General features: G+C 34.3%; 1 long non-coding RNA gene across 2 annotated transcripts in view, besides 1 other annotated feature; it reads right to left on the reverse strand.

Annotated features, from left to right (window-relative positions):
• Positions 1–2,121: 2,121 nt before the first annotated feature.
• LOC105373777 (uncharacterized) overlaps positions 2,122–26,829 on the reverse strand; it is a 63,555-nt gene continuing 38,847 nt past the window's right edge. For both annotated transcript variants that reach the window (XR_923654.2, XR_923653.2), the window contains exons 3-4: positions 3,733–3,802; positions 2,122–2,248 (exon numbers count right to left, since the gene is read on the reverse strand). This is a non-coding gene — a long non-coding RNA (uncharacterized LOC105373777). The remainder of the gene's footprint in view (positions 2,249–3,732; positions 3,803–26,829) is intronic.
• Positions 18,622–18,822: a silencer, noted in NCBI's record as "peak3970 fragment used in MPRA reporter construct". NCBI's record gives its function as "represses an SCP1 promoter by STARR-seq MPRAs in K562 erythroleukemia cells {active_cell/tissue: K562}" and the evidence as "EXISTENCE:reporter gene assay evidence [ECO:0000049][PMID:32103011]".

Below are 26,829 nucleotides of genomic sequence, written 5' to 3' on the forward strand. Positions count from 1 at the left end.
GGCTGGGGCCCCTGGAGAGGTCAGGTTGAACTATCTCCATCTAAAGGGCAAGACCACCCTGCAGAGTTCAGGTCCAACAGTTCCTCTAGAGCTAAAGTCTCCTATGGGAGCAAGTGGAGCCCAGAGGGTTGGGTGTCCCTGGCCATACTCCACAACAGATGCTCCTGCATCAAACCCTCTGGGCTCCACACCAGCTGGTGTGCGGTCCCTACCACCTCTCTAAGCAGCTCTCCCTGCCAGCTCAAGTCTCTATGGTGGTCAAGGGGTCTTCTCCTGTCAGGATTCCAGAGGGCCATGGTGAGAGCAGGTTGTTCCTTGCCAGTTCAACTCATCTATTCCCCCGGAGTCACTGGGGTCCAGGAAGGAGTCCCGCTGCTGTAGCCCATGCAAGGTTCTGAGCTTCCTCCTCCTTTAGCCCAGCTTCTGTGTCTTCCCTCTGGACACTCTCAGTGCTTTCCCTCTGAAGATCTTTTAGGAGTGCACTAATCATCTGGGTCCCTTGGTGGCAGCTGTTCCACCTTGCTGCATCTAGTTGGCCTTCTTGCCCAGTCCCATTCTAATATATTTAATTTACCATTTTTATAGGTAAACACTTCTCCCAAACCCCATTTTTCTTTACAAGTTTTACTTTTTCTCTCAAAATAGAATGAGTGTTTTGAAAGACTGTCTAAATTGTACACTGCCTATTACATACTATCGTTTTGAGGTTATGATTTTGAGAATGGCTTTTCAGGTGAGTTCCTTGAGATAGTAACACTACTTTTTAATCAATAAAGAGTATATAATCACAGGGCTTTTAGGGTTGCACTTTTCTCTCAGCCAGATGTTCACTGTAAAATCATCCACTAACACTGAATAAACTTACTTTTATTTTCATTACTGTGTTTATACATATCTATGAGATAGAGATTTTTGACTTGGATATCCAAACCTTTAAATAAAAAATATATTCACAGAACTGAAGACATGAGGTTTTTAAATTCAATTATCTGGTTTATTATAAAGACTTTATTTTCGTGTTAAAAAAAAATCTCATGAATATCTCAAAGTATCTCATGAGTATCTCAAAGTATGAAAGTTGATATCATGTAAATGAACAGGCATTATTTCTCCAAATCTATAGTTCATGTGTAAATTTTTCCTGTGTATCTTTGAATTACTGTTCTCCCATTACATTTCTTACTATTATTAAGAGAGAGTAACACCTTCTGCATTGACAGAAAATTTGTTATTTATACTTTCCACTTATATTTGATGCTTTTTATCATTCAAAAATTTTAGGTTGCCTAAAAATATAACCTATATGTTGTTTCAGCTTAGTGGCATTAGAAAACCATGCATTTGAAGTGGCTGAAAGTATGTGCCTAAAATTAGCTTCAGATATTTATTGTATCTTTTGTAAGACATTTACAAATAAATTAATTCTTTTTAATTCCAGGTAAAATTTCCAATTTTTTTTTTAATGATCTTGGCTTTGAGTTGATGAAATACTCCTTTGGAAACTGAAGTCTATAGTTGAGATTAATAAAGTTCTCGTGCTTTTAGTGTCAAAATTGCAGATCTGAAATGTTGAACCAAAATGGAACATCTTTCAAAAGCTGAAGAATGAAATCCTTTAAAATTATATGTGTGTCTTTAAAGCTCCATAAATCATTCTTTTAAAATAAATAATTCAGTCCTAATTTTATTCACTTATAAAAGAGAATAAACTCGAAGCATTATTAGAGTAATTACTTTTTTTAATGAACTGAGTTCAGAATATCTATAAAGATTTCTTTTTTCTAGTGAAATTTAAAGGTATGCATAATTAATATTAACTGAATAGATACTTTAGATATTAGTGGTTGAACTGTACTCTTGAAAAAGGAAATTTATGCAACCAGCGTAGCAGGTAGTAGAAATGGTTATTGTCAAACTTTAAATTAGCAATCTTTTGATAAAAAAGCAAATAAAAGACATTAAATATTCAAGCCTAAAATAGGAAAATTGAGAAAAAATTATAATTTTAATAAATGTGTTTTTCCCAAGTTCAATATTGGCACCGCAATAATGTTTTTCTCCTATTAAAAGTAACCAATTCATTCATCAAAACTCTGTAGTACTTAATAGTTTACCTTATTCTTTGTTCTTTCTGATTTCACATCTATCAATCAAAACTACTGCAGTAAATGCTAGCCTAGTGCCCAGTTTCAATAATCAAGAAGAAGTCACAGTGAATCATGATGAAATTTGAATTTAACAGGAGTAACTGGAATGAGAAAAAATATTAGGATTCCATAGGAATAGTAAGTGGTCGATTACAAGAACAAACTATAACCCATATTCTCTATCTAAAAAGGTGTCTGAAACCAATCAATATATAAAGAGTTTCTATATGGGACTAGAGTTTAGAACAGGTTAAATGTAATACCGTGGTCCTGGGCTGGGAAGTGGATTCACAGTAACACTTTGGGAAGAGGATGAGAATCTATATATAAGTGGATTGGAAACATACTCCCAGTGAAATGGTCTAAAAGGAACAAATGCGAGTGGAATTGTTCCAGGTCACTGAATTGGTGTTCAATGTAGTATGCAAGCTCTGGAGAAATTAAAATGCTAGAAATGGGAAAATTAGGCCAATTGACAGTTAAAATGAACAAACTCAACATGTGAAATATGGGCAAGCTTGGTTAGAACACAGGTGGCAAGTAATTGCCTCTGGCAAACAATGTAATAGATTTACAAATCAATACAAATACAAATCTTAATATACTTTCTAGGGAGGTCTAAGTATTAAATCTGTTCTGTCCAATAAGATAGCCACTAGTCACATATAGTTATTTGTATTAAATTTAAATTAATTAAAATTAAAATGTAATTCTGACTCTGCAGTAGACATTCTCAAGTTCTCAATAGTCTCTTGCGGCTTTTGGCTACCATATCGTTCATCATGAATATAAACATTTCCATTACTGAAGGAATTTTAATTGCTACTGTTTTAGGTGGACACAGTGACTCACTTTTGGTCAGTCTAGGGCTATGAGGTGCAATTTTTGTGATTAAAAAAACTCATGCCAATAGAGAATATAACCTATTTAGGGCCTTAAAATAAATATAGATAAGATAATGAAAGTTATGAATAACTACAAACAGAGCTGTTCATATTTCCAGGAAAATCTGTAAAATATAAGCAATTGTTCTCTCAAAATCCAGTAAACAGAACAAAATGAAATAAAATAAAAAGACACTTTCATCTATGCTGGAACCATACATTTTAAAAAATATATTAAAATTATAACAAAACAAGAAAGAATGCTGAGAGTCAATATATCCAAACTAGAAATTAAATAATCTACAATGCTGTTTGGAATGTCATAACTGAAAGTTTCACTTTTGTTTAAGATGTAGAAATTTACAACACACAGCTGTTCCTTTGCTCATAACTGGAGAATAACCAAGAAACTTAAAAACAGCAACAGCAGCAACAAACAACAACAAACTACATATGTATTTCATAAACACAAAATCAATCTATAAAAAGATATGTGAAGCAAATAAGTTAAGAATGAGCCCTTCCTAAATGAGTACTGATTAAATCACCAGAAGCATTTGTTGGATCATGGAACTGAAGGATTGGATCTGCCATAGAAAAGGAGACTGCTGTGAGTAAGCAAAATCAGTAGAGGTTTTAAAGCTATGTGGGCTGGCCTGGTGGACTGGTTTCTTGTGTTCGAAGAAGGCTATTTTACCTACCTGCCAAGACTTCTCATGGGACTTTTGCTGAATATAGTGATGGTAGTAGTATGACAGGCTGGGATCTGTTCTACAAATGGGAGGGAGGGAGGGACAGAGGGGGAGAGGGAGAGACAGAGAGAGAGAGAGAGAGAGAGAGAGAAACTCCATGTTATTACAATTTTATATATAAGAATTATGCTAGAGGAAGACTTCTATAATATACATAGTGCATAACTTGACCCCAAGAATTTTAAAGCAGAGGTAAACTTAAACTAATTTAATTGCAACATAGTTCAATCTAGCAGAATTCCCAATTAAATTTAAATGATTAGCCTCTTTTACTATCTGATGAACAGAGAAAGGGACTTTTTCCCTCTGAAGAAAATAATATTTATCTGAATCTCTTTGATTCTTTAATCAAAAATAGTCACCATGAAATATATATCAGATATGTGAAGAATAATTAAAATTGGCCATAATCAAGAGAAAAATAGTCATAAGAAGTAGATACAGATGTTGGAAATCGCATCTGGCCTTTAAAATAACAGTTATAAATATATTTAAAAAATTAGAAGAAAAAATGGACAAAATGATGAAAAGTACAAAGATTTTAGCAAATAAATAGAATTTCTAATAAAGACACAAAATAACATTCTAGAACTGAAAAATATAGTATCAGAAATTGATTTAATAAAATACAGGACAGAGAAAAAAAGAAACAGTGAACATACGACAGGTAATAGAAATTACCAAAGTAAAAAATAGGAGAAACATCAAATAACAGAAAAGACTGGTGAAGAAACTATGGACCATATCAAAATCCTAACAAAAATATAAACTGAAGTTATAAAAGTTGAGAAAGATTTAATGAGGTAACATAATGAGTTGATAAAGAGAAGAGGGAGAATTTCTTGTAATTTGAGAAATTAAGAAAACTTAAAAATAAAAATAATAAAATCAAATAAGAATATATTGTTGACATAATGCTAAAAACTAGAGGGAAAAGAAAAAAAATTAGAGAAAAACAAAGACACATTACATTCAGAAGAAAAATAACAGTGATTTATGCCAGACATCATAAAATTGGAAAAATATAAAATAATGCCTTAAAAAAACAGACAGAATATAAAAGTTTACCTAGAATTTCATGCACAACAAAACTCTTTTAAAAATAAAGAAATCTTTTTTTTTAATTTCTAAAAATGAAAGGCTGACAATTCTTCACCAGTGGGAGCACATTACAAAAAACACTAAGAAATTTAAAAAAATCTTTCAAAATAAATTAAAAGGATCCCAGATCAAAACATGGATCTACAGGAGAGAATGAAAGGGAAAAGAAATGATGGATATATAAGCATATGTAAAAAACTGTATTTTTAAATTTAAGAAACCATTTGAAAAGACTGTTGATATACTAAAAGTCCACAAAAGCAGTTGCAAGTAAAACAAGAATTAACCTAATTAGGCTAAAGAGCTTCTACAGAGCAAACATAGCTATCAACAGAGTAAAGAGACAACCTACAGAATGGGAAAAAATATTCGCAATCTATGCATTCAACAAACGTCTAATATCCAGAATCTGTAAGGCTCTTAAATAATTCAACAAGTGAAAAACAAATAACCCTATTAAAAAGTGGACAGAGGACATGAACAGATACTTCTCAAAAGAAAATATACAAGCAATCAACAAACATATGAAAAAAAATGCTCAACATTCCTAATTTGCATTTCCAGAGACATGCAAATCAAAACAACAGTAAGAAACCATACCAGGTAATTTAGAGTGGCTATTACTAAAAAGTCAAAAATTAACAGATGCTGGCTAGGTTGTGGAGAAAAGGAAACCCTTACACACTATTGTTGTGAATGTAAATTATTTCAGCCAATGTGAAAAGCAGTTTGGAGATTTCTCTAAGAATTTAAAACGGAACTACCATTTGATCCGGCAATCCAATTACTGGGTAAATATTTAAAGGAAAATAAATTGTTCTATCAAAAGGACATAAGCACTTGTATGTTCACTGCAGCACTATACACCATAGCAGAGATGTAGGCTCAACCTAGGCTTCCATCGACAGTGGATTGCATAAAGAAAATGTGGTACACATACACCATGGAATATTTTACAACCATAAAAAAGAATGAAATTTCATCCTTTGCAGAACATGGATGCAACAGAAGGCCATTATCTAAAGTGAATTAGTGCCGGAATAGAAAACCAAATACTGCATTTTCTTACTTATAAGTGGAAGCTAAACATTGGGTACACGTGGACAGAAAGATGGAACAATAGACACTGGGAACTACTGTTGGTGAGAGAGAGAAGTGGGCAAGGGCTGAAAAACTACCTATTGGGTACTATGCTCACTACCTGGGTGATGGAATTATCTGTACCCTAAACCTCAGCATCATACAGTATATCCAGGTAGCAAACCTGCATATGTACCTCCTAAACCTAACTAAAAGTTAAAATTTAACAAAACATAGTAACATTACTGTATCATGGGGTATATTTTATATATATATATATATATATATATATATATATATATATATATAAAATGTACATGAAGAGTCTGCCTCCAGGCCAAAACTTCTATATGTGATTTGTTTTTAGGTCAACCCTAGGCAATTACAGTGCTTTGCTCATCAAGCCTCATGTGGGAAGCTGCCTGCCTGTATAAGATATGGCACATAGTCAGTGCACTGTAACTTTCTGAGGGACATACAGTCAAAGACTTACCCCCTAGCTCACTCCCAAAACCATGTACATATGCATATCTGCATTCCTAGCCCTGTGCCTCTGTTTGAAGGCTTCCTGATTAGGGGCCTCAGCTAAGGCAATTTCCAGGCACCTCCTTTGAGATCTCTTTACCAGTCAGGCCCTAACTGATAGAGTTTTCCCCACTTTGACTCAGTATTTTTCCACTCCAGGCCCTTCTCCAGCTCTTTCCTTGTGGGAGCCCAGGTCCATAAAATGGCAGCAGGTTTTTTTTCTAGGAGCTCCTCCACTTTGACGTGATTCCCTCAATCTGTGCTCCTTGTCATCTGACCTTCACCTGGTGCTGTTCCATGGCAAAATATGGAACGCCAAAGTGTGGTACTTTCCCCTCTGCTTCTTGCCTGCCCTGTTGTCATAAGAAAATAACAGCCTTTTCAGTTTGGCTTGTCTTAATTGATTACCTCAACACCTGCCAGCTTAACTATGTGTGTGTGTGTTTGTGCGTGTGTGTGTGTGTGTGTATGTGTGTATGTGCATGTGTATATGCATAGGTATATGCATGGTTGTAAGGATTTATTTTCAATAAAGTGGTAAAACTATATCAAAATAAATTACACATGAATAGGAAGAAAATCAATAATAAATGAGAGAATTAATCCCAAACAATTCAGCAAGTACATTAAATGTAAATAGACTATTCAGTCTAAGCAATACCAGAGATTGTTATTTGGAGTGAAACAAAACAAAAAAGATCCAACTCTAAGATGTCCAGGAGAGTTACACTTTAAATAGACACACATGGATTAAAAGTAAAGGCATTGAAATAGAAAACACAACCACCAAATACTAACCACAATTTTATGGTGTGAACATATTTATATCAAACAAATTGTTCTAAATATTGTTATGAGAGATACCAAGCAATATTACATAAAGGTAAATCTTGTTCTCTAGAGGGACCTGAGTTCTAAAGGTCATGCCCCTAATGATGTAACTTCAAAATGGATGAAGCAAAGTAGACATGACCAAGGAGACAGAGATGAATGTACAATTATTATTGAAGATTTTAACTCCCCTACACTGAAACAATTTTACTGGGTTTTGTGATACAGAAAAAAAGTAAAAATAATAAATGCATTGCCCAAAGAATTTTCACACTCTAAGTGCATCTGTACCCAACTCAAGAATGTCACCTAAACTTTAGAAAGTATCTTTATACACTTCTCAGTCATCTCACCAAAAGGCGAACAGTATTTTGACTTCTATTAACATGTATTTATTTACTTTACTTATTTTTCCTGTATTTTAACTTTACTTAAATGATTTATTTAGCTCAGAACTAGGTCAGATTCACTTATATTGGCTCATGTAGCAGAAAATTCTTTATTGTTTAGCATTCAACTGTATGAATATACCATAATTTATTTATTCATTCTACTCTTGATGGATAATTTTGATATTTATAATTCAGGATTTTTTTTTTTCTTTTGGAGATGGGGTCTCACTCTGTCACCCAGGCTGGACTGCAGTGGCATGATCTCAGCTCACTGCAACCTCTGCCTTCCAGGGTCAAGCAAACCTCCCACCTCAGCCTCCCAAGTAGCTGGGACCACAGGCGTCTGCCATCACACCCAGCTAATTTTTTGTATTTTTGGTAGAGATGGGGTGTTGCCATGTTTCCCAGGCTGGTCTTGAACTCCTGGGCTCAAGTGATCTGCCCGCCTTGGCCTCCCAAATGCTGAGATTACAGACATGAGCCACCAGGCCCAGCCTGGAGTTCTAATTAATAAAGCTACTATGAACATTCTTATGCATTTATCTTATAAATATAAGTACATATATCTGTTGAATGTATACATAGGAATAAAATTGCTGGACAAAATGGTATGTGTATTTTGAATGTTAGTAGATATTATAAAACAAGTTTCCAAAGTGTTTATATACATTTTTATTTCCACCAGTAGAGAATGGGATTCTGGCCAGGCACAGTGTCTCATGCCTGTAATCCAAGCACTTTGGGATGCCAAGGAGGGCGTATCACCTGAGATGGGGGATTCGAGACCAGCCTGACCAATATGGAGGAACCCCATCTCTACTAAAAATACAAAAAATTAGACGGGCATGGTGGTGCATGCCTGTAATCCCAGCTACTCGGGAGGCTGAGGCAGGAGAATCACTTGAACCCAGGAAGCAGAGGTTGCGGTGAGCCAAGACTGCACCATTGCACTCCAGCCTGGGCAACAAGAGGAAAACTCTATCTCAACAAAATAAAAAATAAAGAGAATGGGGTTCTATTTTATTAGTATCTGTTTCATTTTTCTTATTGATGTTGTAATTCTTATTTTTTTATGTATTTTCTCTCTAAAGCTATATTTTTATATATCATTGTAGCTTATATTTGCATTTATTTGATGAGTAATGCCAATGAGAAGCATTGTAAATATAAGCTACCATGTGCACACTTTACATGTATAATTTGCAGTTTACATGTGTACACAATTTACATGTGCATACAATATGTGCACTTTACATGTGTTTATAGGCATTTCTGTATCTCCCTATAAGATTCCTTTTAAAATCATTTCCATATTTTCTTTTACTGAATTGTATATATTCTAGACACAAACCCGTGTTCAATATTTGTATTAAAAGTAACTTCACCTATTATGCAGATTACACTTAAAATTTTAGTAGTGTTTTGATGAATAAGAATTCTTAATTTTAAGTCAGTTCACTTCATTAACTGTGTCCTTCATTGTGAGCATTTTTGAGTTATATTAAAATAATATATAGACTTTTAAATGTAATGCTTTTATTATAAAAAAAAGATTAGTAGTGCTTCTGGGTGATAAGACTCCAGATTTTAAAAACTTATTTCCTTTTTTGTATTTTAAAATTTTGTTATAATGTTGTTTATATTCCTACCATTGATGATAGAATTAATCATACTGCTTAGCTCATTTTAGTTTATGAGGACTGGTCTGAAAAGGACTGTATTCTGTTAAGTTAATTGAATAATTCATTCTCTTTTTCCTCCTATCCCACTTTCGTCCTTCTCCCCATGGACCACCATGGACCATCCTTCTATTTTATGTGTTTTTATGAAAAGTCTATTATATCAAACATATCTATTTAATTGCTTAAGATATGACTTTGCTTTCACAATTTTTTATTAAGCATTAAGTTTTTAAGAACATTTTATGTTGATATGTGTACCTCAAACCTGTTGGATCTATTTGATATATAATATCCTATAGTTTGAATTTACCACATTTTACCTACCTATCTAAGTGACAGATACACATTGCCTCTGTTGTACCAGATTGCTCTTCAGAAGTGTCTGTGCCTGTATTAGTCCATTCTCACACTGCTACAAAGAACTACCTGAGATTGGGTAATTAATGAAGAAAAGAGATTTAATTGACTCAAGTTGACTCACAGTTCTGTTCCTCAGCCTCTATAGCAAGTATGGCTGGGAGACCTCAGGAAACTTCCAATCATGGCAGAAAGCAAAGGGGAAGCAAATATGTCCTACCAAGGCGGGGCAGGACAGAGAGCCAAAGGGGAAGTGTGACACACTTCCAGATTTCATGAGAAATCACTCATTCTCCAGAGAACAGTAAGGGGGAAATCAGCCTCCGAGATCTAATCACCACCCACCAGGTCCCACCCAACATTGGGAATTACAATTCAACATGAGATTTGAGCAGGGGCATAGAGCCAAACCATTTTGCCCCTGACCACTCCCAAATCTCATGTTCTTCTCACATTTCAAAACCAATCATGTCTTCCCAACAGTCCCCCAAAGTCTTAACATTTCTAGGATTAACTCAAAAAGTCCAGCTCCAAATCCTCATCTAAAACAAGGCAAGTTCCTTCTACCAATCAACCTGTAAAATCATAAACAATTAGTCAATTCCAAGATACAGTGAGAGTACAAGCATTGGGTAAATATTCCCATTTCAAAAGGGAGAAATTGGCCAAAACCAAGAGGCTTCAGGCCCCATGAAAATCCAAAACACAGCAAAGTAGATGTTATTCCTAAAGCTCCAATATAAACTTTGACTCCATGTCTCACATTCAGACCACACTGAAGGGGTGGGTTCCCAAGGCCTTGTGCAGCCCTGCCCCTGTTGCTTGGCAGATTACAGCCCCGCCCCTGTTGCTTGGCAGATTACAGCCCCATGGCTGCTTTCACAGGCTGACATTGAGTTTCTGTGGCTTTTCAATGCACAGGGTGCAAGCCATCAATGGATCTACCACTCTGGGATCTGGGGATGGTGGCCCTTTCTCACAGCTCCACTAGGCAGTGCCCCAATGGGGACTCTGTGTCAGGGTTCCAACCCCACATTTCCCTTCTGCACTGCTCTAGCAGAGGTTCCCCAGAAGGGCTCCACTCCTGCAGCAGACTTCTCTCTGGACATCCAGGCATTTCCATACATCGTGTGAAATCTAATTGGAGGCTCCAAAACCTCAGCTCTTGTCATCTGCACATCTGCAGCCCCAACACCACATAGAAGCCACCAAGACTTGGGGCTTGTACCCTCTGAAGCAATGCCAGAACTGTACGTTGACCCTTTTCACCACAGCTACAGCTAGAGCAGCTAGGATTCAGGGCACCATGTTTTGAAGCTGCACAGAGCAGTGGGGTCCTGGGCCTGCCCATGAAACCATTTTTTTCCTCCATGGCTTTGAGACATGTAATGGGAGGGCTGCCGTGAAGGTCTCTGAAATGCCCTGGAGGTATTTTCCCCATTGTCTTGGTTATTCACATCAGCTTTTCTACTGCATGGTCAGGCTGCAAATTTTCCAAACTTTAATGCTCTGCTTCCCTTTTAAACATAAGTTCTAGATTCAGGTCATTTCTTTGTTTATGCAAACGAGTATAGGCTTTTAGAAGCAGCCAGGCCACTTCTTGAATATTTTGCTGCTTGGAAATTTATTCCACCAGACACCCTAAATCATCTCAAGTTCAAAGTTTCACAGATCTCTAGAGCAGGGGCACAACGCTGCCAATCTCTTTGCTAAAGCATAGCAAGTATAACCTTTACTCCAGTTCCCAATAAGTTCCTCATCTCCATCTGACATCACCTCAGCCAGGACTTCACTGTTCATATCACTATCAGTGTTTTTCGGTTGTATCCATTCAACAAGCCTCTAGGAAGTTCCAAACTGTCCCTTATCTTCGTGTTTTCTTCTGATCCCTCCAAACTGTCCCAACCTCTGCTCAGTACCGAGTTCCAAAGTTGCTTCCACATTTTCAGATATCTTTATAGCAATGCCCCACCCCTGGTAACAATTCTCTGTATTAGTCCATTCTCACACTGCTATAAGGAATTATCTGAGACTGGGTAATTTATAAAAAAAGAGGTTTACTTGACTCACAGTTCCACAGGCTATACAGGAAGCATAGCTGGGAGGCCTTGGGAAACTTCCAATCATGGTGGAAGGTGAAGGGGGAGCAAGTGTGTCTTACCGTGGCAGAGCAAGTGAGAGAGCAAAGGGGGAAGTTTTAAACACTTTTAAATAACCAGATCCTGTGAGGACTCACTCAGTATTATGAGAACAGCAAGGTGGAAATCTGCCGCCATGATCCAATCACCTCCTACCAGGTCCCTCCCCACATTGGGGATTACAATTCAATATGAGATTTGGATGGGGACACAGAGCCAAACCATATAAATGCCCATCTATATTATATCAGAGCATGAGGCTCTATTAAGGTAATATCATTCAATAAATTGTTTTTAGCATTTTAAAATAGATATATTTATGTTTCATGCTTATTTTTAGTATCACTTCTAATGATTGTATGAATGTTTTCCTTTAAGCCTATAATATGATGTATATTACCTGATTTCCCAAAACATATTAGCTTATTCTTGGAAATATTTTACTCATGGTTGTTTTATATTGTACTATATATATAAAGATAAATTGCATTTAGTGTTTGTATTAATATTCTATTGCTGCCATAACAATTGCCACAAAAATAGTAGTTTAAACAACACAGATTTATCAGCTTCTTGTTCTGAGGTTTAGAATTCTGGCATAGGTTTCAATGGGCTAAAATTAAGTTTTTGGCAGGACTGAGTTTATTTCCGAAGCTTCTAGGGAAGAATATGTTTCCTTGTCTTTTCCATCCTCTAGATATCTTTGCCTTTCTTGTCTTGTGGCCCCCTTCCTCTGTTGTCAAAGTTACAGCTACATAGCATATTTTGGACTCTTCTTCCACTACCATATCTCATTCTCTGACCACAGCCAGGAAAGATTCTTGCTTTTAAGGATTAATGTAGATTAATTGGCCTCTCTGGGATAGGGTAATTCAGGCATATCACCATTTTTCAAGATCCGTATCTTTAATCACAACTGCAAGTCTCTTTGCCATTGTAAGGTAACACAATCTCAGGTTTTAGAGATTAGGGCGAGGAAATCTTTGAGGATCCATTATTTTGCCTTCCATAGTATTATTCATTTAATAACATGTAAGTAAGACTCATTTGAGGTAAGTTATTCACCTGTTTTGTTAGACCTGAGTATTAGCATTACAGTGCTTTATAATATGATTTGCAGATCACCTTTTCCTTTTACTTGAAAAGTAAAAGATTTGAGTTTTAATATTGAAATAGCATATGGTATATTATTACTTCTTTGAATATGAGAAATATATTTCTTATGAAACCACATGTGTGCATCTCTTTAATAGGGTCTGGTTCCTAAAATCTATATCCAGCTTTTTTCCTAAGTATTAGATGGCGTATGCTTTTGTCTTATCACAAACAGTAATTATTTCTTACTTTCAATTCCTCTTGTTGTGATTATACTCCCTTCCACTGTTCTAAGATTGTTTAATTTTGTATTCGTTTATATTATTGCATTCATTGACATTAGATATGAGTTTTAAATTTATTTTCAAAGAATCAGTATGTCAGTATGTTCAATTTTTTACCTTCTACTTTTAAACTTAACTTCATAAAGCAACTTTTTTTGATTACCTGACCCTGACTCATTCCAATTACCTGCTCTGTCATAACCATTTTTCCCACCAAACCACTCACCCTGTACTCTCTTTAAATTAGCCAATCAGAATTAGTTTAGCCCGTGTGGTCTAACTCCAGCCAATAGGGGAACGACACAGCAGCAGGAGCCACATGTGTCAGGGATAAGAACCCCTTCCCCTCCCTTGTCCAAGTGTGCGCTCCCTATTGCTCCATCTGTAAGGGCGTACCCTTCTATAGAAGTACCTTGCCTTGCTGAGAATTGAAACGAAAATTTTATATTTGAGTGCTATGTCTTTTGCAGCACTGAAACTTTATTTATAACAATTGATCTTATTATTGTGTCATAATTTCTGATTTTGTTCTGTTTTAGAAAACATCATTTTGATTTATCATTTTAATTCTTTTGTTCCTGAGTTTGTTGTGATATTCTTTCTACTTTTTTTTAACCACTTTACTGAGGTATAATTGACATGAAAAAAAAAAACTACAGTTATTTAATGTATACAATTTAATGGATTTGAATATATGCGTATATCTGCAAAGTCATCACCATACTTCTTGAATTGCATGGCATGTTTATTTCCTTTTTCTTAATTCCTTTTTTTTGTTGTTGTTGCTGAGATGAAGTTTCACTTTTGTTGCCCAGCCTGGAGTGCAATGGCACAATCTCAGCTCACTGCAACCTCTGCCTCCCAGGTTCAAGCAATTCTCCTGCCTCAGCTTCCCAAGTAGCTGGGATTACAGGTATGTGCCACCATGCCTGGCTAATTATTTTTTTCATTTTTAGTAGAGGCGGGGTTTTGCCATGTTGGCCAGGCTGGTTTCAAACTCCTGACCTCAGGTGATACACCCACCTTGGCCTCCCAAAGTACTTGGATTACAGGCATGAGCCACCACATCTGGCCAATTCCTTATTTTGTTTTAATGAAAGTTTAATATTTATACATACTTCACTGTATACCGTTTTAGCTCCCTGAAGTATTTTTCCTCTTAGTGATATCATAATTATTAGTTGTTTCCTCTTTTTGATGCCATAGTTACTTAGAAAAGTATTTTTTGAATGGTGTTTGGATAGCTTTTGTTTGTTTGCACATTTCTGCATCTCCCATCTAGGCCCATATATCCAACTGCTCGCTTATTTATGTTCCAATTTTATCATGTCTAAAATTGAACTCTTGATTTTTAGACTTCCAAATCAGGGTGTGGAAATTATCCACTATCTTTATCCAGAATTATGAGCTTATAATAACTTTATCCATCTGAAACTGAGTTTGAAATTAAAATTTTCAAAAACCCACTCAAAACTTGGAGTTCTCCTTTCATGAAATAAAACGGAAATCATGGTATAACTATATTAAAGTAGACATTTAAGTATAAGGTAAATAATCTACTCATTAATTCCACAAATAAATATTGTCTCCCTATTCTGTATCAGGCATGATGTTTTTTTTAAAAAAATGACAAGATTTGATTTCAGTCTCCAGCCATTAAAAGGATCACTGTTTAGTGGGAGCGACACACATCAGCACTAATGGTAGAAAATCCAATATGGCAAAATCAATGAGAGAGACTGTAAAGAGCACTATCAAAGCAAAAAAAGGGGAATCTAACCAGGGTCAGAGATGGCAAAATCAGGGAACACAAGTCTTGTTTTAACTCAATAAATACATATTGTGCTGTCCTTTAGTCATAAAATTACTTAACACACATTCTGTGTTTTAACAATGAACTACAGCACAGTGGTTAAAAACACAGTATAGAGGCAAACTGCTTTGATTTAAAAATAAACTTCACCAGTTAACTGGTTTTGTGAGCATGGACAAGTTAATTAACTTTTTATTGCTTCAACTCCTTTATCAGTAACATGGCAATAATAGTAGAATCTCGTGGGATTTTTAGGGACATTTAATAAGTGATGATAGTACCTAGAAAATAATTTCAATGTAAGTGATCACTGTTATTCTCTAATAAGTAACTCAAATATTTGGATCAAGGAAATGAATAAAAAATGAAAAGAGCAAAGCTTGAATTTAAAATTATGTTAATACATTTTGAGTTCCTCTAACATTCTTCTCTTAGTATACTTCCAATTTTCTCATAGCTAGTCTTATTTGCTTGGAACAGTCTCTATAGAGATGTATATGAGTATATTTACACAAAAAGAATTAAGGAAGGACATGCATTGTTACATCACTTTTTCAAAATTGTAGAGGAATTTAGTGGAAGTATGCACTGTATTTGTTAATCATACATTGTTTTCTTTTAGTTAACTGCTGGTATTTTAGGAGTTCTCTTTATTTTCCTACTAATTAATAACATAAATGGATTTTAATCACATAGAGTGATTTATTATATACTTTTGTTCATATGGCTCACTTCAAATTGCTACAATGTGATTTAGATTATTTCATTTCAAGTTTTATTTTTTCCAAAAGTTTAAGCAGCAGATTAACACTTCTCTGACATAATTGTTCTAAGCTGACATGTTCCCTTTTGTCCGGTTGCCTGATTAGACAGCATATGAGTCTGTAGCTGGTGAGCTCTGTTAATTAGTGCATTGCACTGAGTCAAGGCTGACTTCCCACTTTAGGGCTCATGGCTGTGCTCTGATTCACATCCGCAGGGTGCAGTCTGCACTACTAGAAGTCTGACAAATAGTATCCTACTGGTCACAAGAGGGGCCAGACAAGGTAGTATGAGTGCATTGGTACAAACCTGTCACCATTGCTGAGGGGGAAAAAATGACAATATCTGGCTTGTTGCCAGTATATTAATAGTATCATCTTTATTTATGAAAGACAGCACATTGTGGCCCACATCCAACAATTAAGGTTCTTTGTGACCTCTAGTTCTTGCTCTGAAATCAGAAATAGTTGGCTTCATTTGAAATAGCTGGCTCAAGAGCATAATAAACTTTATGTCTTCACTATTATAAAAAAGAGTGAGAAAATGTTACTCCAAACAGTTTTCCATTCAATGCTCCACATGGAAGAAGTGGGTAAGTTTTAGACCTATGATGGAGAAAGGCATTTCTCTTAGTACTTTGATTTTTAGTGACTGCCAGATCATGTGAAGTCTATTAAACCAACGATATACAGACTTCTAACTGCTCCTGGCCTCTGAAATATTCCTCCTGAGGAAGAGATGTGTAGCTATTTCATGTTGGGATATTTGCAAATCTCCCACACATTCTTCCCAGATTTTTTAAATGTACACACACACAACATAGAATAAATGCAATTGCTATGGGAAATAGATATGGTAGAAATTGCTTTCAGTTAGCTGTAGGGGGACTATGGAGATTAAGAAAAACTCTATATTTGTAAAACTTTTTTATTAAATCTGAAAATTAGAGTCATATTAAGCAAAGATTCACAGAAATAGTCTATAGTAACTTAAACTTTCCTAATACAAAATTTAAAAAAAAGAATTTGCATTATAAAAATGTATGTATTGAAATTCCATTATTTTTTTCATACACAGTTAGTGATGGTGTGTTTTAATACAATGGTTTTTAGTATAAGTGTCCCATCTGAAGAATAGCAACTTCATTAAACATTTATTGTGTAGCAGACATGGGCTTGGGAATGTATCTCTAACATAAATTATTTGTAAAGTAGTAATTATATCATTATTTAGAACTATCATTTTATTTTAGCATTCTATTAAAAATGGTAACATTTAGAAACACTTGATTGAAGGTAAATTCTTCAGGGGACTTATTAGAAACATCTTCAGCCCACACACAAAATAAGACCCTTCACTTATGGTGTATTTAGCATGTTGATTGTTATCTTGATCCTTGATCCCCTTAGATTAAATACAATGCTAAAGCAAATCTCTGCTTTACATTGTGGTCATGGCTATGAATAGAATGTTCAGCTAAGTAAGATCATTACCAAAAACACAATGGATCTGGTATTGAATAATTTTTAACAACCATAATCAGTGCGTGCTGCAATGTTGCAATTAAATCTGCTACTCTACTCTTTAACTAGCTTGGTTGTGGTTGGGAATTCATTCAATCTAAGACTTAATTTCTAAGTGTATGTGTGTGTTCTCTTTTCACAACACATTGAATAAAATGATTTTCAGTGTGAACTTTGGAGACAGATATCTGAGTTCAAAACCCAGATTTTCTGTAATTTATCTGTTGTGGATCTTAGGTAATTGATGATAATCTTTCTGTGCCTCAGTTTGTCAGCAAAGTGGAGGTAATAGAAGCAATCACAGTACATGTTATTATGTAAAATTGTTATCAGTATATACATATTCATACATCCACACACTCACAGACACACAGTAGTTAGATCTGTATCTGCCATACATTAAAGTCTCTTACAATATTAATTATTATTCTGTAATAATATTTAACAGTAATTAACTACAATAATTTGGAGCCTTTTGAATTAGAAATTGATATGCTTCAAAATAAAGATCAAACCCTTGAGAACTAAAATCCTTTATTGCTAACTTTTGTTTTCACTGAATGCGGCACATGACATAGTCATTATATAATAATATTTGAGAATCAATTAAATATTATGCTCTTCCTTTTGCTGTGGCTATGAATATATGTAACTGGAATTCCCTCATTTATTGTGGCTTATGCTAATATTAATAATGATAAATAACAGTCTACATTAATTGAGAGCCAACTCTGAGCCAGGTACTGATTTATATTCACAATCTTTCTGCTTTATATCCATCATTTCCAACACACCCTATCATTCTACAAGATAGGAGAAATTAACTTTATTTTACAGACTAAGAAACTGAGATTTAAATGTAAATTAGTTACCAGATTTATATGTGTGTATATATATATGTTTATATAACATATTATACATACATAATTATTCTTTATCTGTCCTTGAATAGAGACATGAAAGAAAATGGTACATTTTATGTACGAATAATTATGTTTTAGACATAAATCTATATTGAGAAATAGCTTCAATCACAGATTAACAAACAATCAAATACTCTCTTAGTTGATTATATAAATAACTGATTCACAGTGATCTGAATGTTTTCACACTAACCCTCTCCAGAGGAAAACAGGAGGCCTGCTGAGGCCTTTTTACAACTGATAACCAGTGAGAATTTGGGTTCTCTTCTCTGGTTCACTTTGTTTCCTCGTAACTAGTGTTGGAAATCCAAGTGTAAGAACCAGAAGAGCTCTGCAAGTATCTATAGAAACTGAGAGAAAGTTGACACTGACCTTACATGTCTGATCTTTCTGGCCTCTCTGTGACCAGAAGAGGCTAAGGAAGCTAGAAAGGAAATGAGTGAGTGGGGTGATCCAGCTCTGCCCTGAACTTGAGATAGAATCAGGACTCTAACAGTAGGGCCTGCTTTATCACCAGTTCTCAGTAGGACTCTCAGGTAATATAGAGACAAACTAAGAAAACAAATATTCGTGAATTTAAGAAAGCCCAACAAATTGGAAACAGGAAAATTTGTCAGAGCAATGATAACATATATACAACAAAACAGAAATAGTGAAAAAATAGAAGATACATTAATTTATTTTTTTAATTTTTTTTAAATGTAGGCTATATTTGTAGGGTACAGGAGATATTTTGATACAGGTATGCAATGTGAGATATTTTGATGCAGGTATGTAATGTGATATAATCACATAAATGGAGAATGAGATACCCATCCCCTGAAGCATTTATCTTTTGTGTTACAAACAATCCAATTCTTTTAGTTATTTTGAAATATACAATTAAAATATACAATTGAAATATACAATTAAGCTATTATCAACTGTAGTCACCCTGTTGTGGCATCAAATAGTATATGACTTATTCGTTCTTTCTTTTTTTTGTACATTAACACCTCCCTGCCAGCCCCCCACTATACTTTGCAGCCTCTGGTAACTGTCTTTCTACTCTCTATGTCCATGAGTTAAATTGTTTTGATTTTCAGATCCCAAAAATACGTGAGAATATTCAATGTTTGTCTTTCTCTGTCTGGCTTTTTTCACTTAACATAATGACCTTCTGTTCCATCCATGTTGTTGCAAATGACAGAATCTCATTCTTTTTTATGGCTAAACAGTAATCCATTAGTATATGTACCACATTTTCTTTATTCATTCATTCATTATAGAGGTCTTTTTCACTTCTTTGGTTGATTCCTAGGTATTTAATTTTATGTGTGGCTATTACAAATGGGAGTGCGTTTTTTATTTCTTTTTCTGATTGCTCACTTTTGGGAAATAAAAATGCTGCTGATTTTTGTAAGTTGATTTTGTATCCCGCAACTTTTGATGGACACTGAGGTTGCTTCCAAATATTAGCTACTGTGAAGAGTACTGCAACGAACATGGTAGTGCAGATACCTGTTTGATTTGCTGATTTTCTTTCTTTGGGGTATATACCCAACAGTGGGATTGCTGGATCCTACAGTAGCTTAATTTTTAGTTTTTTGAGGAAACTTCAAACTGTTCTGCATAGTGGTTGTACTAACATTCCCACCAAGAGTATTTGAGGGTTCCCCTTTGTCAACATTCTCACCAGCATTTATAATTGTCTGTCTTTTAAATGTAAAATGTAAGCCATTTTAACTGGGTTGAGATGATATCTCATTGTAATTTTTATTTGCATGTCTCTGATAATGATGTTGAGCACCTTTTCATATGTCTGTTGGCCAGTTGTATATCTTCTTTTGAGAAATGTCTATTCAAATCTTTTGTTATGTTTTAATCAGATTATTAGATTTTTTTTTTCTATAGGATTGTATGAGCTCCTTATATATTCTGTTTTGGTTACGCCCCTGATCAATGGGTAGATTGCTAATATTTTATCCCGGTCTGTGGCCCGACTCCTCATTTAGTTGATTGTTTCCTTTGATGTGCAGAGGCTTTTTAACTTGATGTGATCTCGTTTGTCTATTTTTGCTTTGGTTTCCTGTGCTTGTGGAGTATTGCTCAATAAATTTCTGCCCAGACCAATGTCTTGGAGATTTTCTCCAATGTTTTCTTGGAGGAGTTTCATAGTTTGAGGTCTTAGACTTAAGTCTTTAATCCATTTTGATTTGATTTTGTAATATGGTGAGAGACAGGTGTCTAATTTCATTCTTCTGCATATGGATATCCAGTTTTCCCAGCAACATTTATTGAAGAGACTAGCTTTCCCCAGTGTATGTCCTTGGCATATTTGTCAAAAATAAGTTCAATGTTAAGTGTGTGGATTTATTTATGGGTTGTCTTTTCTGTCCCATTGGGGTGTGTGTGTGTGTGTGTGTGTGTGTGTGTGTGTGTGTGTGTGTTTTATGCCAATAGGATGCTATTTTGATTACTATAGTTCTATAGTATAATTTAAAGTCAGTAACATGATTCTTTCAGTTTTACTACTTTTGCTTAGGATAGTTTTGGCTATTCTGGATCTTTTGTGGTTCCATATAACTTTCAGGATTGTTTCATCTATTTCTGTGAGGATGTCATTGGTATTCTGATAGGGATTGCTTTAAATCTGTAGCTCGATTTGGGTGTTATGGGCATTTTAACAATATTGTGTCCTCCGATCTGTGAACACAAAATATTTTTCAATTTTTTGGTGTTCTCTTCAATTTCTTTTCTCAGTGTTTTATTGTTTTCATCGTAGAGGTCTTTCACGTCTTTGGTTAATTCCTAGGTTTTTAATTTTTTGTGTGGCTACTGTAAATGGCATTACATTTTTAATTTCTTTTTCAGATTTCTCACGTTTGGGATATAGAAATGCTACTGATTTTTGTATGTTGATTTTGTATCCTGCAACTTCGCTGAATTTAACAGTTATAATTGTTTTTTCATGGAGTCTTTAGGTTTTTCCAAATATAGATTATATAATCTGCAAACAAGGATAATTGGACATCTTCCATGTCAATTTGGATGACATTTCTTTCTTTCTCTTGATTGCTCTAGTGAGGACTTCCAGTACTATGTGGAATAACAGTGGTGAAAGTGGGTGTCCTTGTCATGTTCTAAATCTTAGGGGGAAGGCTTTCAGTTTTTCCCCATTCAGGATGATACTAGCTGTGAGTTTGTCTGTTACATATAGCTTTTATTTTGTTGACGTGTGTTCCCTCTATACCCAGTTTTTTGACGGTTTTTATCTTAGAGGGATATTAAATTTTATCAAATGCTTTTTCAGCATCAATTGAAATTATCATACGGTTTTTAGCCTTCATTCTTTTGATATAACGTACCACATTGAATGACTTGCCTATGTTGAACCATTCTTGCTTCCCAGGGATAGTCCCCACTTGGTCATGATGAATGATCTTTCTAATACCTTGCTGAATTTGATTTGCTAGTATTTTGTTGAGGATTTTTGCATCAATATTCATCAGAGATATTGCCCTGTAGTTTACTTTTTATTATATGTCTTTATCTGGTTTTGGTATCAGGGTAATATTGGCTTCATAGAATGAGTTTGGAAGTACTCTCTTCTCTATTTTTCAAAATGGTGTGAGTAGGATTGGTATTAGTTCTTCTTTAAATATCTGGTGAATGTTTTCTCAGTAAAGATGCATTCTCCCAGCAAAAAATTATCCCAGTAAAGATAGCTTCACTGGTGAATTAGATTCTGTTCAGGTTTTGGATTTCTTCCTGGTTCGATGTTTGTAGATTTTATGTGTTCTAGGAATTTGTCCATTTCTTCTAGATTTTCCAATTTATTGGCATATAATTGCTCATAGTAGCCAGTAATGATCCCATGAATTTCTGCAGTATCAGTTGCAATGTCTCCTTTTACATTTCTGATTTTATTTATTTGGATCTTCTCTCCTTATTTCTTAGTCTGACTATAGGTTTGTTGATTTTGTTCAACTTTTCAAAAAACCTACTTTTCGTTTCATTGATCTTTTGTATTATTGTCTTCATTTCAATCATTTATTTCTGCTCTGATCTTTATAATTTCTTTTCTTCCACTATTTTGGGTTTGGTGTGCACTTGCTATTTTAGTTCTTTAAGATGCATTGTTAGATATTTTGTTTGAAGTTTTTTCTCTTTTTTGATGCGGGCACTTAGAGCTATAAACTTCCCTCTTAGTATACCTTTTGCTATATCCCATAGGTTTTGGCATGTTGTGTTTCCATTGGAGGCGATTCGAGATTCAAGACTTTTTCTAACTGTTCAGTGTCTTTTTCAGTAATACATAGTTAAAATCAGGTAGGTACTATGAGGGCTCACCTCGTTTTTGGCTCTTAGGAAGTTTTTTGTTTGTTTGTTTGTTTTTTCTGTGATAATAGTTGTTAACTTGATGTTTCCTGTCAGGGAGATGATAGGTGGAGGCTTCTAGTCCATCATCCTCCATTTGGTTTTTCTAAAATGACATAGTTTTAAAAACTCTACATTCTGAAAAAAAAAGAACATTTTAATAACTTTAGATTTCAAATAAAAAATTACAGAAAATGAATAAAATTCATGTATTCCATCTATAATTTTTTATGCTTTAAGTCAGTGGAATAGCATCTGCTGATTATGGGGAGAAGGGGACTAACCCAACAATATTATATTCAAGATAAATGTGATTTATCATCTGTCAGGATGGAATGAAAACATTGAAAGAAATGCAATTATTTATGACATCTGAGAAAAACAACACAAAGAAGGATTCTAAATAACAATAAATATAATAGTTTAGAACTTGGTATAGAAGACGAAGAAGAAAAGAAACAATGCTAATCAATGCTCTTTGGTTTCTCTAACAAAACATATATCTCTCTCATTTTCTCTCTGTCTCTGTCTTTCTCTGCTTCTTTATTCACACACGCACACACACATACATACACACACACATACTTAAAACCAAATAGATGAAAAGCATTGTCTTGAAATTACTAAATAATGCCAACTAAACAGAGGAAAATAAAGAGAATTAAGTGAAATCATTCAAAAAGTTTCATTCAGGGCAGGTAACAAGGGTAGAGAGTTGCAGCGGGGAAGGGATGTCAGAATATTCTAAACTTATCTTGAAGTAGAAGTTGGGGAAATACAGTATCTTGGCAAGACAGCATTTAGATAGGGAAAGGGTTGGTATGTTGTTTTCTAATAAAAATAGAGAAATATTTATCTAAATAGAAGAGCACATATGGGAAGATGGCCATTAATAGAATGAGAAGGTACAATAACATGTTCAAATTAAAAAAAGAAAATGAAAGAAATCACATCTTGCTGTAACTAGAAAAAGTAATCAAAAGACCAGAGGAAAACACAGGATACAGTATAAAATACTGAACTTAGTTTACATGGAAGAAATAAAGCTTTTATTTTAAAGTATTTAAGCTATACAAGTATATAAAATTGTTAATCATCTTAATAAGACAGATATAGCCCTAGCAAAAAAAGTATAAAATCTAGGCAAACAAAAAGACCTAAACAAATAATATAATGTTTTGAAATGAAAAACTTACTGTGATAAAACTAAAATTGTCCCAAATGTATATTTATATTTCCAAATAATATTTGCTGTACATTTACATTCACCATTAATGGTGTAATTCCAATTAGAGACAGTAGGGATTGTGGGGATATTGGACAAAATAGTAAAAAATATTTGTTTAGAATATGTATTTAAGAAAAATCAAGAAAATTACACACGCACACATACACAGACATTCATACATGCAAAAGGTCTTTTTGGGTTTGTGTTTGTATATCTGTAGTTGTGAAGGGGTATGCACCTTATCTGGTGTCAGTTACTACTCCACAGTAAAATCAGTTAAAACAGAGGAAAGCATTTACAAAATATATTCTAGCATACGTAAGAATTTAAAATAAGAAGAGACTGATAGTCAATTCAGTGTGAAATGACATTATTAAACCAATGATACTTAATGTCTGGCTAACCAATGGGAAAAGATAAAAATTGACTCCATTCTTCTGTTTTATACACTATAATTTTATGTAGATTTAAGGCTTGTGTATAAAAATAAATCTAGAATCAGAGGATACTTTAATTTTATAAAAATAATATATGCATATGTGATTAAGTATAATATTTGTGTAGAAAATATATTACAATTATTTCATAAGCAAATGACTGACTTGAGAAATAATTATAATGTAGATTGCATAAGAAGTTGTTAATGTCTACAGTCTATTGCGGGGAGGGGTTAAGGTAAAAACATGTTCACATATTGAAAATGAATGTGAATTGTTAACAGCTTTTTGGAGACCAACTTGGAGATATCTATTAAAATTAAAAATACCAATATATTTTAATGCAGTAATACCACTTCTGGAAAACTTTATCTTAGAATTCAAAGCAATTGTAGTAAATCTATATGTGTAAGTATGTTTATAGTAGTATTGCTTATAATGGCAAAAACAAATATTCTTGCCATTAACAGGGAAATTATTGTTTAGATTATGTCATGTTCTTTTAAAAGCTTTCCTTAAAAAAGGAAATTTTTTCTTCCTTTTTTTAAAAAAATTGTACAGCAAAGGAAACAATAGTTGACAGAGAACCTACTTAATGAGAGAAAATATGTGCAAATCATCTATCGGATAAGGAGACAATTTCCAAAATACATAATATATAAGGAACTCATGTAGCTCCACTGCAAAACATTCATAACCCAATTTTTAAAATGGGCTAAGACTTGAACAGACACTTTTCTAAAGGAGATATACAAATGGCCATTGAGTATATAAACAGATGCTCAATGTCATTCATCATCAGGGAAATGCCAATTAAAACCAAAATGAGATATTATCTCATACAAATTTAGATGGCCACAATCAAAAGAACAGGAAATAATAAGTATTGGCCAGGGTATAGATAAATTGGAACACTTCAACACTGTTGGTAGGAATGCAAAATTGTGCAGCTGCTACAGAAAAGAATATGGAAAGTCATCAAAAAAATAAAAATAGCACTCCCATAAGAACCAGAAATTCTACTTCTGGGTATACAGTCAAAAGAATTAAAATCAGTATTATGAAAAAGTATTGGCACTCCAATGCTTACTGTGCCATTATTCACAATAGTCAAGATATGCAAAGAGCCTAAATGTCCATCAATGGATAAATGAATAAATAAAATGGGATATATATGTGCAATGAAATATTATTCAACCTTTAAAATTGAGTATTTTGATAAAATACTCTTATTTGAGAAAAAAGATATAAAAATTATATCCAATATAATCATACATTTTAAAATGACATTTTTAATATATATTCACATATAATTACATAAGCATGGAGAAATAACTGGAACATAGTAGTGATGGTGGGCAGACAGAATAGAAAAGGAGATGAACTAAGTAAAAAAAGATTAGAATAAAGATTGTACAACATACAAAACATATATATAACCAGAGTTATGTGTTAATAACGTGTACGTGTGTGTGTATGTCTGTGTATGTGTGTGACTGTGTCTTTATAGCTAGTGAGAATTTATTCCTTTAAAGTAAAATAAAGTTATTGGTACACAAAAGACCTCTCAAATTTTTAAGTGACTGCCTTCCACTATCCCTCCTCTCAACTTCTCTACCCTACTAGAAGGAAGGAGATGACTTACTGGAAGAATAGCAGCTAAACAGACAAACATAGGAACAAAGAAAAAGAAATAGTCTTGGCAATATTGTGAAGCCAAAAGAAAACAAGCAATCTCCCCTATTTCATTCCAAAAAGAAAAAGAAAAAAGTACAGCACCATCAGCTTGCTTCTTGCCTTTTCTGATAACATTAGTATTATATTTATTTTCCTTTCAGTCTACTGCTTCTAAAATGGTCAATAGTAGTGTGATGGGATTCCACCACTACTGATTTTTCTCTTTTATTTCTTATCCACTTGAAGATTTCTTTTGATTCACTCAGTTATTTTTCTATTTCTATTCATGACACAAGTTTCATGTATTCTACAACTCTTAAGCCACCAAGTACCATGAGGCATGTCTGGCCTTCCCTGAAATAAGAATTGTATCCACACTATTTTCGTTAACCAGACAATTGTTAGTTGCAAAATCATTTAAGCTTTCCCAGCGCGGTGCCACAGTCATGGGAATCCATGACACCATTTGTGAGTGGGTCAGTAGAAATAAGGCACAGATACATACTCACCATATAAACAAGCATTTACCTTTCTTGGGTAAAAACAACACAAAAAAGCCACAGCTGGTAATTTTAGAAGAGTTCATTTAAGTGGTGGAAGGACCCTCCTTCTTTTTACTTTGTGAATGCGGTCTCTGGGTATGGGGTCTGATGTGTCCATTGTGGAGTGGAAGTCCCACAAACTAAGGTGAATACTCAGTCTCCTGGCTCACAGACTTTTTTTTTTTTTTTTTTTTCACATTGACTTTATTTTTTCATTGGAAGAAAATGCCTGCCAAGTACTGGTAATTTTCTTGTTTGGTCTCAGCCTCCATTACTATCCTCCTGTGTGTTATCCTT

Source organism: Homo sapiens, chromosome 2 (assembly GCF_000001405.40).
Source record: "Homo sapiens chromosome 2, GRCh38.p14 Primary Assembly".
NCBI classification, from domain to species: domain Eukaryota; kingdom Metazoa; phylum Chordata; class Mammalia; order Primates; family Hominidae; genus Homo; species Homo sapiens.